At 37.1% G+C, this 13,648-nt stretch overlaps 1 protein-coding gene across 4 annotated transcripts in view, besides 2 other annotated features; it reads left to right on the top strand.

Moving 5' to 3' along the window:
• CTNNBL1 (catenin beta like 1) overlaps positions 1 to 13,648 on the top strand; it is a 178,089-nt gene that overhangs the window by 79,546 nt on the left and 84,895 nt on the right. For all 4 annotated transcript variants that reach the window (XM_024451947.2, NM_001281495.2, NM_030877.5 and 1 more), the window contains 3 exons: positions 3,770 to 3,842; positions 4,079 to 4,137; positions 5,612 to 5,760. In XM_024451947.2, coding sequence (XP_024307715.1) covers positions 3,770 to 3,842; positions 4,079 to 4,137; positions 5,612 to 5,760 — 281 coding nt within the window. The remainder of the gene's footprint in view (positions 1 to 3,769; positions 3,843 to 4,078; positions 4,138 to 5,611; positions 5,761 to 13,648) is intronic.
• Positions 12,168 to 12,669: an enhancer, noted in NCBI's record as "H3K4me1 hESC enhancer chr20:36414145-36414646 (GRCh37/hg19 assembly coordinates)". NCBI's record gives its function as "activates a minimal SCP1, AML or CMV promoter by ChIP-STARR-seq in naive H9 embryonic stem cells {active_cell/tissue: H9 hESC(naive)}" and the evidence as "EXISTENCE:reporter gene assay evidence [ECO:0000049][PMID:30033119]".
• Positions 12,670 to 13,169: an enhancer, noted in NCBI's record as "H3K4me1 hESC enhancer chr20:36414647-36415146 (GRCh37/hg19 assembly coordinates)". NCBI's record gives its function as "activates a minimal SCP1, AML or CMV promoter by ChIP-STARR-seq in naive H9 embryonic stem cells {active_cell/tissue: H9 hESC(naive)}" and the evidence as "EXISTENCE:reporter gene assay evidence [ECO:0000049][PMID:30033119]".

The raw sequence follows: 13,648 nt of genomic DNA on the forward strand, positions 1-13,648 counted from the left end.
TTTCTCCTGATTTTGAATAAATGTCTTTGAAATTTGGCAGTTTGGTATTGTGCAATCTCTGGCTGGGATTTAAACAGAAATAAAATATGCTTTGTAAGTGTTGTCTTTGGCTAGACATGAAAGATTACTTTCCTTTCTTCCCACCTGGCCTAATTTCTTCTATTTCTTTTCTACCAGATTAAAACATTTGGTTGTCATCATCATCATCATCACCACTAAGTTTTCATCATCTGATATGAGTTTCATGTATTGACTGCTCACTACATGCTAAAGTGTTTTTCTAGAACCTTCTTCTTTCTTTCCTGTCTTTTTCTTCTTTTTCTTTCTTTCTCTCTTTTTTTTTTTTTTTTTTTTTTTGAGGCAGGGTCTCATGCTGTTGGCCAGGCCAGAGTGTTGGTGCCATCACTACTCACTGCAGCCTTAACCTCCCAGGCTCAAGTGATTTTCCAACCTCAGCCTCCCAAGTAGCTGGGACTTCAGGTGCACACCACCACACCCAGCTAATGTTTGTAGTTTTTTGTAGAGATGAGGTCTCACTATGTTGCCCAGGCTGGTCTTGAACTCCTGGGGTCAAGTGATCCTCCCGCCTCAGCTTCCCAAAGTGCTGGGAGTACAGGTGTGAGCCACTGCGCCTGGCCACATACATTATTTCTAATCCTCACAAACAGCCCTGCCAAGAGGGTGCAGCTATCCCCAATTTACAGATAAAGAAATCCCAGAGAGAGAGGAAATGGTGTTGCCCAAACCACATGGGAACCACGTGAGAGAGCCTGTGAGCATTGGGCCTTGGCATCTTTGAAGCCACCTCCTCTTGCCAAGCTGCTTCTCAGCTGGCACTGCTTTTAGGTTCTGAAGCATTGCAGAGCTCAGCGTTGGGGAGTTATCGGGCCTCATCATTTTGGTTTCCTGATTAGATTCTTCCTTCATGCCAATTTCTCAGTCAGAACTTATATTTTAATTTAAAAATGATGAAGTTATCAGTCTGGTTTTTAAAAACTTACTTTGGTTAAATTGGAAACTCTTAGTAGTGTCTTACAGCAAAAGGTGGAGATTTCCTGTGGAACCAAGAATTCTCAGTAGCAAGAAACTCAGCTGGTCGGTGCCTGTTATGTATACACCAGTTCCCTTAGTACAGCCACTTCATGAGGAAGATATTAATTTGGCCAGTCTCATAGCTGGTAACTGTTAGAGCTCAGATTCTAATGCAGATATTTCTGGTTATGGTTGTCAGAAAAACTTGTGGTACCTACTGTGTGTTAGGTACTTTCATATTATGTTTTTAAATTCTCATAGTAACTCTCCAAATAAGTGGGATTTTTTTTCTATTTCTTTTTTCTTTTTTTCATGTCAGTGCCCTTAATCAAAAAAGTGCTATTTTTTATTTTCATTTTACAGATGAGGAAACTGAGACTGAGAATGTTTCTTGGGTCATAGATTCCCATTGTCAGCTTACAGCATTCTTAGTGTCTCAGTAATTCTGTTTTTACAGCACCGCTATGCCAAAAAGTACCTAATAGTCTCATTTATTAAGTAGTTATGTCCAAACCATTTAATATATATTTATGTCCTTACAATTTATTAGCCATTTGAGAAGATAATACACACAAATTGAAAGAAAAAATATTTTTATTTCATTCTTAAATATCATAGTTACTTCCTAATGGTATGTGTGCCTTTTGGTACTGCTCAAATCCTTAAACCTTAGGATCAGATTGAACGCTACGACCATCATTCTGATTTCACATCGATTTTCACAGTTATTTTTGTCAGAGCAGCTATCCAAACGCAGCTCCACAAAGATATGATGTCACCAGAAGAAATGTAACTTGAGCTCCTGGTTAATGCAGTGTTCAACAGATGTCACATTTCACTGTGTTCTCCTTGAAAATTTAACATATCCTGTGGTGAATTAAATATGACACCCCAGTTGCCACAGCGCAAAGTTGGAGAACTGCAGATTTGAGTCAACCTTAGGTGTGTCTAATGCCAGATCTGTGTTTTATTTTCCTTTTTTAAAATTTGATATTTCTACAAAATTAATTTTAATTCAGTGTAAGGTTTTTAAATGCCACAACAGTGGACAGAGTTCAGATCTAAGTTACCCCTGTTTGTTCTCTTGCTTAATTCTGTGTCTTCCCTATAGCAGGTGCCTAATAAGTATTTATTGAAAGGAAGAAAAACTCCCCCCAACTTGAAAACAGGAGCTTACAAAATTGAATAAAGGACAAGAGGCATTAGATCCACAGAAAGGCCATGGCTCTAGTGACCTACTGTCTTTTGGCTTCTTTCAGTTAAGTGTCTTGTTTTAAACAAGAACCATGGCCCTTGCAATGCTAATGTATAAGTTGGTGTGGCTTAAATCTTTTAAAATATAATAGCAGTACTTGGAACTTACATAATTTGAGTGGGAAATTTTATTCGCAAATCCTTGATTTTGATAGAGATGCTTACTCCTTGGCTTTTCACCTTCATGTTTTGATTTTCGTTAATATGAAACCATTTTTCTTAAAGTGAAACATACCACAGGTTGCATTTAAGCCCTGACTATTATGCTGAATTTCTTGAAACAAGGCTTCAAGCTCGCCCAGGGAGCATACCTTACATTTAGCACATGTAAGACCTTGCATTTATAGATCTTTTAACCTAAGATGGTCATACTTGGTTGACCTCCTGAAACCCTGTAGGCTGCACTTAGCTTGATGAGGAAGACGTGCACAGAAAACTGAAATGATACTGAATATTGCTTGATTAGGTACAACTCTTCCTCTTTAAGTATAAAACCAATATCTAAACAGATCTGTGAATGGCGGTAAGGTGACGGAAGTGTTAGTTCCAAGATAAACACTTCCCTTGTCTTTTCCAAGTACAGAAATTCTTTGTCATTTCAAAAACACAGATAGGTAGCAAAGGTTGCTGCTGATTAATAATCATTGTTTACATGCCTGCATTTTAAGGATCATGGGCACCATAAATAAAAACACACCACTGAGACTCGCTCCTCTCTATGCACCTTTATCCAGGGGGCAGTGATAATGGTGAGATATTTAAGTCTCACTACCGAAGCAACACTGAGGACAGCCATGAAAGATAGTCTGTGCAGTAGATGTGTCCCCTCTGAAACTCCCAAATAGCAGAGCATGCAGCGGGGAAAGAATTGTGGGTAGTAATTTGGGTGTTAAAATATTAACACATTTTTGCATATTTAATGTGGTTTCTGTTTTAAGTAGTAGGCAGATTATGGCATGCAAGCAGATAAGTTTATGATTTCAAATTAAATTTTAAGCATTAAAAAAATCCAGAAGGAACTACTTTGTGATAAATACATTCAGTTAATCAAGAATTGCTTTCTTCTCTGCTCATATATTAACTAATTTATAGCCTAATTTCATGATTGTAACTTGTGAATTAAGCTTCATGGTGAGTTTTAATCTTAAAAGTTCAAAACTCTCATTCATCTAGTTCACATTTGGGTACTATGGGCTAGACATATATAATCTCTGGACTCAAAATGGGAAATCTTGGAAGTCTTCACCGAGGAGGTAACCTTAATACCTGGGCATTAAGAGTGTGAGAGCCATTGTTTCAATCTGTCACTTTACTTGGTTCTGGTCTCTTGAGAGCAGAGGCAGACGTTTTTACCCTTAACTGCCTTTTCCTTTTCTAACTTCTGCTTCTCTCTAACTCAGATCATAGTACTCGTGAAAAATTTGTCCTGGGGAAGGAAGCAAGACCCCTTAACATTTTTCTCATTTCTCCTATTTCCCCATAGGCAAAGATGCCTTTTGATGCCAACAAACTGTATTGCAGTGAAGTGCTGGCCATATTGCTCCAGGACAATGATGGTGAGGCGCCCTCTCAGTATTGATATTCTGTTAGGATAGGAGCCAGGCTTGTTTCAGATCATGACAGCAAGCTCTCTTGCCTTTGGCATCCCCTTGCTCTCCCTCTCACTCCCTGTGCTGCTTTTGTACTCTGTCAAGCTGTATTGATTTTGTTTGCTGATGTATCAGTGTTAGACGGCTGTAAAATCTGACAGTTAGGTTCATTTTTTTTCTTCCTCTATTTTTTTCCCCTTTAGAAAACAGGGAATTGCTTGGGGAGCTGGATGGAATCGATGTGCTTCTTCAGCAGTTATCCGTGAGTAATTCTTATGCTTCCTGTCTGCTGTAAGATACATGGTCTGCTTTGAATGGGAGGTGGAGCTGGAAACTGTGGGAAGGAATAAGCCATGTGCTGCAAGCCATATGGAGCATGTTGGCAGGTTTGAGGGTTATACGGAGGGACATGGTTTGCCTCCTTTTCTTAGTCATTTGCTCTTTATGACCAGACATCACTGTGTATCAGTTCTGAACTTTCTTCATCTTCTGATATGATATTGTCAACTCAAAAAAGATGTGCCTCATGCTTAAGTGTGTATGTTCTGGGCCAAGCATACCAAATTATTTTCATTTGACCCACTGCCAAGATTATTCACCAACCTTCCTTTCAATCTGCTGTGAAAATGGAGTATGTTCATTTAGGATCTGAATAAGCTCAAGGAGTACAAGTTCCACTGCAGTGGGGTGGGGGTCAAGGGGAGGATAGGGGAGGATGTGGTGCTGAAGGCTGGAGTGAGAACTTGGAAACTGCCATTTTCTCACTGTAAGAAATGTAAATCCAGTTGAAATGTTATTCTGCTGGCATTCTGAAAATACTGTTAAGATTTCCTCTTACAAGTTTTAGCTGTGTTATTCTAAAAACAGGACTGAAAATAGATCATTTGGATAAAATCTTAAGAGTGTTGGGAGAGTCTGAGATGTCAGTTTGCATACAGCTTCCATCTTGGTGCCAGCAGCCTGAGTGTCTTGGCCTCCACCCCAAAAATAGAGCTTTGAAATGTGAATCTGTTTCCAGTTCTGGGAAGGTGCTTAGTCCTTTTCCTGTGAGATTATTGATCTTCTTGTAGTAGACTGTATGGGTATGCATATACAGTTTAAAGGCTTCTCTTAACATGCCTTACATCTCTGGCAAAAAGAAAACTAATGCTGTAAGCCCTTCCCATGAATTAAAGCCCCAGCTCCCCTGTGAGGGAATTCAGTAGCCTTGGTTGTCAGGAAATGCTTCCTTATATTGAGCCACGATTCAGCCCTCTGGATTGTGGTTGCTTTTAGAAGGGAAAGAAATGAGATATGGTTGGGTTGGGCAAGTGGAGGGCTTTGAGGGGAGTTGGCAAAGTTGTTTCTCATCCTGGATAATGATTTCAGGGGTGTTCACTTCATTTAGTTTTATATGTCCTTTATGGAGTTTTTCTGTATCTGTGTTATATTTCACGATAAAAAGATTTTGTTTTTTATTGGGTTTTGGTTTTTAAAAAAATCTGCTTGCCTGGAACTGTCAATTACTGATGGACCCAGTGGTCAGTAGAGTGTTTTGGCTTTTTTTTTTGCATGTATTTAATATATGTGAATCATTTAGTTTCTCTAAAATGGAAACTGATGAGAATTTTGTTTGGTGAGCTTCTGTTTCCTCAGTCGTAGAGTTATGACCCACAGGTTTTAGGAATTGTTGGATGGAGGCTCATGAAAAGACATTCTCTTATAGCTCTGTGCTTTGTGCTGTTTTTGCTTGACAGGTGTTTAAAAGACACAATCCCAGCACGGCTGAGGAGCAGGAGATGATGGAGAATCTGTTTGATTCCCTCTGCTCCTGTCTAATGCTTAGTTCCAATCGTGAGCGCTTCCTGAAGGGCGAGGGTCTTCAGCTGATGAATCTCATGCTCAGGTATGTTTCGAATGCCCTAGTTCTCCCACCTTTTTTGCCTGACTTTTCACTGTTAGCCTGAATTCAAGAGCATGTAGCTATGATCATTTATTCTGTTGGGTTTCCTAGACTTTACCCTGAAGAGTAAAGTCTTCAGGCATGGGGGGATGTGTTTGTATAGGTATGTGGTCTTTCCTAAAGTTAGAGTAGATGAATAAAAAGTATATTGTGTTCTGTTTGTGCCCTACTGTGGTGGTTGCTAATACGTCCACTCCATTGAAGGACATTGGTGTTTTTCCTCTCCTTCCCATAGTGTGTTAGTTTTGGGGAAATCTAGCCATTACTTCTAAACTTGGACTAATTTTCTGTATATATCACATAGACCTATCTATGCCATATGTTTGTATTTTTATTGAAAGCAGCGTATCATTCATATTTTTCACTCCTCATTCAGTAATGAGTTGTACATGTGCTGTATGCCTAGCTTAGGAAATATGAAAACGTGCAAGACAGTTCTAGAAACTTTTATTTATAGTACTTTCCTTGTGTGTCTTATTATTTATACGCTAATTCCTGAAAGTGGATCTTATATTAGTTTCACAGTTATTTTATAGAATCCTAAAGTTAGAAGCAAAAAGGGGAGAGGAAGCTTATGTTGATAACTCTTGAGACCCTGTCTAGGAAGGGGAGTAGAGAAGTGTGTGGGGGAAGGCTGAGGGGATAACCAGACTGTGGTATAGGGTCAAGGGACTTAAAAAAAAAAATCGAGCATGTTTATGTGGTTGGAAGATTCTAGTCATTATGAATTGTGCCCTACAGAGGAGCAAGTTGAGATTTAAAAAAAAAAAAAACAAGAAAAAAAGAAATGGAGCCAGAGTCTGCTGTCTTAAAACTTCAAGTATACTGAAAGTTCTGTTGAACTAAGATATTTCTTTGGAAAGGTTTTTCATAAATGTGATATATATTTGTTAAATAGAATTTAGAATACTAACATATAAAACTGCTATTAAAACATTGACAAGGTACTATGTTAAGTACTGGGCATACACAGAAATACCTAAGACAGAATTTCTGTCTCCACAAAGTTAGGAAAACAGTTCTGTGAGCTAAACACAGCCTGTCTTTGGGTGTATATTTTCTTCTAGTCTTTTTTTCTATAATTTTTAACAACTTTTTAAGCCTGCCACACATAGGATTTTCTGTATTGCTACATTTCAGACATAAGATGCTGTTTCCCATGCTGTGAATAATCTTCATGAGAGTTTTCAGTAACTGCATCATGGCCTCTAAGGGACTGTAGCTTACTTAGTATTCTTCTGTTGTTGGCATTGAGGATATTTCCAATGTTTTGCCGTTATAACAAATTCTACAGTGACCATTTTTGTGTTTAAAATGATGTTAGGATTATCCAGGTACAGTAAGTCCTCACTTAACATCATCAGTAACATTCTTGGAAACCATAACTTTAAGCGAAATGATGTATAATGAAACCAGTTTTTCTGATCATTGTTATAACGGTGTTATTTGAGGATCTGACCTCCTATATCCCGTTTTACTTAAAGTTGCCATTTCCAAGTCTATCTATGATGTTAAGTGATGACTTACTGTGTATATTTCTAAAATATATTATCTTTAAAAGGCTTCTGGGGGGCTGGAGGCACAGTAGACCTCTTCATTTGTCCAGTGTGTACCAGACCTTGCATTGACCAAAAGTCTTCCTTTGAGGAATTGCTTTTAAAAACAATTTTTAAAAAAATGCAGAGAGGAGCATGAGAAATTACTCAGAGGCCTTTTGTGTTTAGCTGATTTTTGCTAGCTTTACTCTCTTGAGTCTTTTGTTTATCTCCCTTACCCTTCTAATTGCTTGTCCTTTTGTTGAAATGACCCACCTTCTCTCAAGTAAATAGCATAAATAGAAGATACATTTGGCTTCTTGGATCTTCTAACCTTAACACAATGTTCTGAAGGGACTTTTCCTTAAGCTTCTTAAAGGTCTGAATTGCCAGTGTCTTTGGTTGGTTGAGTGCAAATATGAAGTGATATATTTCTGCAGCATATGGCTAGGTATTGCATAGCAGAGGGGAGCTGAATAAATAACCAGAAATATGGATTATTCAAACAGGAATGCTGAGATTCAGGGAGGCTAATTAAAGGAGAGCTCCAAAAAACTTAGAAACTGTACCTCTCTAGATCTCCTAACTTCATTTTTGAATGCTGAAGTTGCTGTTACATTCATTCTTTGGCATTAATTAGCTATATTAGCAGATTCAGCATTTCCTTTTTTCTCATTCCCATACTCTTTGTTCTGTGTTATTTTTCTTCAGACTCCCAAATGGAAAGTTTAATTGGGATGGAATTTTTTTTCCATACTATAGTCACCCTTTCTGATCTTCTAGTAAGAGCTGCCAGGTGGCTCTTTGTCTAGAGAGAGCCTATTCAAGACTATGAAGCTGTAACACTAGAAGTTCAGGAAAGTTTCTGTGGTTCCATTGCCCCTAAATATAGATCTTTACTTTGACTCAGTCATTCATCAGACAGTTGTGAAATGCCCACATGGAGAGGTGGCAGTATGGAGCAGGGTGGAAGAATGGGCCTGGGACTTGTAAGTGTGGGTTTGGAACATGCTCTTTTACTTACTAGCTCTGGATATTTGGTGAGTTACTTTAACCTTTGTGACCTTCTCACCCTCAGTTTTTCATCTGAAAACCGGCACTAATAATACCAAATTTACAGGTATTTTGGCAGAATTAAACTATATAAAGTATCTAGGAGAATTCTACAGTTGCAAAACACTGCTAAGGTACTATGTTAACTTTCTACGTTAAGTGCTAGGTTTATACAGAGATGAACAAAACAGGGTTCCTGCCTCCAAGAAGCTCAAAGGCTAGTGAGGGATGCACACATTAAATAACTATAATATAATTTAATATGATGACGCTTCAGGAGAACAGTTACTTTTGCATGTATATATACTCAGTGAATTTTTTTCCTTTCTGATTATTGATGAAGAAAGATCACAAACAAGATACTCATTGATACATACTCCCTCCTTCCCACACATATGTGCACACACACACAAGCATATATTCACTACCAATTTAATATTTTTGTCTACTTTATTGAGGCATAATTTTTATACAGTAAAATGTACGCATTTTAAGTGTACAGTTTTGACAGATGTTTCCACCACCACAGTGAAGATGTAGAACAGCACTATCCAGTCGAAATGTAATGTGAGATAGGTAATTTTACATTTTGTAGTAGCTACCACATTTAAAGGGTTAAAAGAAACAAAAATAATTTTAATAATGTATTTTATTTAACATAGTAAGTCAAAAATTATTTCAACATGTAATCAATATGACAAAATTATTAGTAAGCCATTTCACATTCATTTTTTGAGACTAAGTTTTCAAAATCCAGTGAACATTTTACATTTACATCCCAATTCAGATGCTAAATTTTCATCAGAATGCTTGATTTGTATTTAGATTTCATAAAATTTAGAGTTGAAAACATAGATTCTCATACTTAAGTTTGTCCAAAGATACTTAAATGTTTTCCAATAAGTCCAGTATCAATTTTTAAATTTTAAACTTAAATTTATTTAAATTATATTTAAAATTTAGTTTCTCAGTTACAATAGCCACATTTCAGATGCTCAGTAGCTACACAGTGTCTACCATATAGGATGATGTATATACAGATTCTTTTTATCACTCCCAAAGGTTCCCTTGCATGCCGCCAGGCCTGGCTAATTTTTTAAAAATATTTTTGGCAGAGACAGGATTTCACCATGTTGCCCAGGCTGATCTTGAACTCCTGAGCTCAAGCTATCCACCTTTCTTGGCCTCCCAAAGTGCTGGAATTACATGTGTGAGCCATTGCACCTGGCCAAATGCCTCCTTTTTCATTTCCGGTTTTTATTTATTTGATCCTCTCTCTTTTTTTCTTAATCTGGCTAAAGGTTTATTGATTTTGTTTATCTTTTGAAACCTAACTTTTAATTTTGTTGATCTTTTTTATCTTTTTTTGTTTGTTTCATTTATTTCTGCTCTGATCTTTATTATTTCTCTTCGTCTACTAATTATGGGTTTGGTTGGCTCTTACTTTTCTAATTCTTTAAGATGTATTGTTAGGTTGTGTATTTGAAGTTTTTCTACTTTTTTGTTGTAGGTGCTTATTGCTATGAACTTTCCTCTTAATACTGCTTTTGTTGTATCCCATAAATTTTGGTATGTTGTGTTTCCATTTTCATTTGCTTCAGACTGTTTTAATTTCTTTCTTAATTTCTTCATTGGCCCACTGGTTATTCAAGAGCATATTGTTTAATTTCTGTTTGAATAGTTTCTGGAATTCCTCTTGTTATTGATTTCTAGTTTTTTTCCATTGTGATCAGAGAAGATACTTGACAGAATTTCAGTTTTCTTGTATTTTTAAAGAATTGTTTTGTGGCCTAACACATGAACTATTCTTGAGAATGACCCATGTGCTAAGGAGAAGAATGTGTATTCTGCAGCTTTTGGATGATATGGTTTGTCACTATCTATTAAGTCCATTTAGTCTATACTGCAGATGAAGTTTGATGTTTGTTGATTTTCTGTCTGGATGTTTGATCCAGTGCTGAAAGTGGGGTGTTGAAGTCTCCAGCTTTTATTGGGATCTGTCTCTCCCTTTAGCTCTAATAATATTTGCTTTATCTATCTGGGTGCTCCAGTGTTGGGTGCATATATATTTATAATTGTTATATTCTTTTGCTGAATGGGTCCCTTTACCGTTATGTAATGACCTTCTTTGTCTCTTGGTCTAATTTTTGTCTTGCTATCTATTTTGTCTGATTTAAGTCCAGTTCCTCTTGCTCTCTTTTGGTTTTCATTTGCATAGAATATCTTTTTCCATCCTTTTATTTTCAGCCTATATGTGTCTTCATAGGTGAAGTGTGTTTCTTGTAGGCAATGGATTGTTGAGTCCCATTTTTTTAATCCATTCAGCCACTCTATATCTTGTGACTGGAGAGTTTCGTCCATTTATATTCCATATTATTATTGATAAGTAAGGACTTAATCCTGCCATTTTGTTATTTGTTTTCTGGTTGTTTTGTGGTGTTTCCTTCTCTTTGTGAAGGTGATTTTCTCATATGGTATGTTTTAGTTTCTTGCATTTTATTGTTTGTGTATCTGTTGCATGTCTCTTGACATTACCATGAGGCTTGCAAATACTATTTAATAACCCATTATTTTAAACTGATGACAGGCTTAACACTGATTGCAGAAACAAACTGACAAGCAAAGAGAAAACTAATAAAAACTCTACACTTTAACTTCACCCTTCCACTTTTTAACTTTTTGTTGTTTCTGTTTATATCTTATTATACGGTCTATGTCTTGAAAAGTTGTTGTAATTATTTTAATAGGTTCATCTTTTAGTCTTTCTGCTCAAGGTATGTGTAGTTTATACGCCACAATTACAGTGTTATAATATTCTGTGTTTTTCTGTGTACTTATGGTTACCAGTGGGTTTTGTACCTTCAGGTGATTTCTTATTGCTCATTGGCATCCTTTTCTTTCAGATTGAAGAACTACCTTTAGCATTTCTTGTAGGATGGGTCTGGTGTTGATGAAATCCCTCAGCTTTTGTTTGTCTGGGAAAGTCTTTATTTCTCCCTCATGTTTGGAGGATATTTTCACTAGATATACTATTCTAGGGTAAAATATAGTTCCTTCAGCACTTTAAATATGTCATGCCACTCTTCCCCTTTAAATATGTCATGCCACTCTTCCCTGGCCTGTAAGGTTTCCACTGAGAAGTCTGCTGCCAGACATATTGGAACTCCATTGTATATATTATTTCTTTTCTCTTGCTGCTTTTAGGATCCTTTGTTTATCCTTGACATTTGGGAGTTTGGTTATTAAATGCCTTGAGGTAGTCTTCTTTGGGTTAAATCTGCTTGATGGGGTTTTGTAACCTTTTGTTCTTGCATATTGATATCTTTCTCTAAGTTTGGGAAGTTCTCTCTGATTATCCCTTGGAAAAGACTTTCTACCCCAATATCTCTATCTCCTCTTTAAGGCCAGTAACTATTTGATTTGCCCTTTTGAGGCTATTGTCTAGATCTTGTAGGTGTGCTTCGTTCTTTCTTATTCTTTTTTTCTTTTGTCTTTGACTGTATTTTCAAATAGCCTGTCTTCAAGCTTACTAATTCTTTCTTCTCCTTTATCAGTTCTGCTGTTAAGAGACTCTGATGCATTCTTCAGTATGTTGCATTTTTCTGCTTGATTCATTTTAACTATTTCAATATCCGTAAAATGTAATAGGATTTTGCGTTCCTTCTGTGTTATCTCAAATTTCATAAAGCTTCCTCAAAACGCTATTTTGAATTTTTTATCTGAAAGCTCACATATCTCTGTCTTGCTGGCATTGTCACTGGTCTCTTACTTAGTTCATTTGTTGAGGTCATGTTTTCTTGGACGGTCTTGATGCTTATGGATCTTTGTCGGTGTCTGGGCATTGAAGAGTTAGGTATTTATTGTAGTCTTTGCAGTCTGGGCTTGTTTGTATTCATCCTTCTTGGGAAGGCTTTCCAGGTATTTAGAGAGTCTTGGGTGTTGTGATTTAAGTCTTTGGTCACAGCAGCTGTGTCTGCATTAGGGGGCATCCCAAGCTCAGTAACACTCTGGCTCTTGTAGACTTGTAGAGGTACCACCTTGGTGGTGTTGGGTAAAATCGAAGAGAATTCCCTGGATTACTAGGCAGAAACTCTTGTTCTCTTCCCTGACTTTTCCCCAAACACGTGGAGTCTCTCTCTCTCTCTGTGCTGAGCTGCCTGGTGCTGGGGGAGGGGTGAGACAAGCAAGCACCACTGTGGCCACCACTGGGACTGTGCTGGGTCATTCCTGAAGCCAGCACAGCACTTGGTTTCACCCAAGGCTCACATTGACCACTGCCTGGCTGCTGCCTGTGTTCATTCATGGCCCAAAGGCTCTACAGTCAACAGGTGGCAAGTCCAGCCAGGCTTGTGTCCTTCCCTTCAGGACAGCAAGTTCCCCCCAGCCCCAGGCAGCTCTACAGATGCCATCTGAGAGCCAGAGCCTGGACTTGGGAACCTTAGAAATCTACCTGATGCTTTACTCTATTGCGACTGAGCTGGCACCAATTGGATTTGTTTTTTTTGGAGGGCATCTTTTTTTAGAGAACCAACTCTTGGTTTTGATATAAATATGCATATGTATGTGTGTACATATATATATATATGCATATATGTGTGATATAAATATGCATATGTGTATTTGTATATATATGGTCTACAATGCTTGTAGCATTTTGTATATTTGTATACCTTTCCCCCGCCTTTAATTCTTTTTTTCTACTTTTTTGTTTATTCTGTTGCCCTTTTTCCAAGTTTGTGAGTTAAACGCTTAATGCTTTAAAAAATAATTCTCTTATTTAAAAATAAAAACATTTCAGGTTAAAAAATCTCCTTTTAATATTGCTTAGTTTTATTCTCTATTCCCAAGTGATTAAGTCTTATTTTCCTATTACATTAACAGAAAATAGAGGCTATAAAATACATTTCTGAATTTGAGATTTTGTTTGTGGCCTTATACTTGGGTAGTTTTTATAAATATTCCGTGAACATTTGAATAGAATTTGTGTTTCTAGGGTATAAAGTACTATAATTATAACATAAATCAACTTTGTAAACATATTCCGTTCTTTTCTGTCCTTTTTATCCCCTAATTTGTTTAGTCTCTAACTATGGTTGTGGATTTTTTTTTTTCTGTTTCTTCTGATCCTTCCTATATCCTTAGCATTTTTTTTTTTTTTAAGAGACAGGATTCCACTATGTTGCCCAGGCTGAAGTGCAGTGGCTGTTCACAGGAGGCAATCACAGTGCACTGCAGCGTTGAAG

Source organism: Homo sapiens, chromosome 20, assembly GCF_000001405.40.
Source record: "Homo sapiens chromosome 20, GRCh38.p14 Primary Assembly".
Classification (NCBI taxonomy): domain Eukaryota; kingdom Metazoa; phylum Chordata; class Mammalia; order Primates; family Hominidae; genus Homo; species Homo sapiens.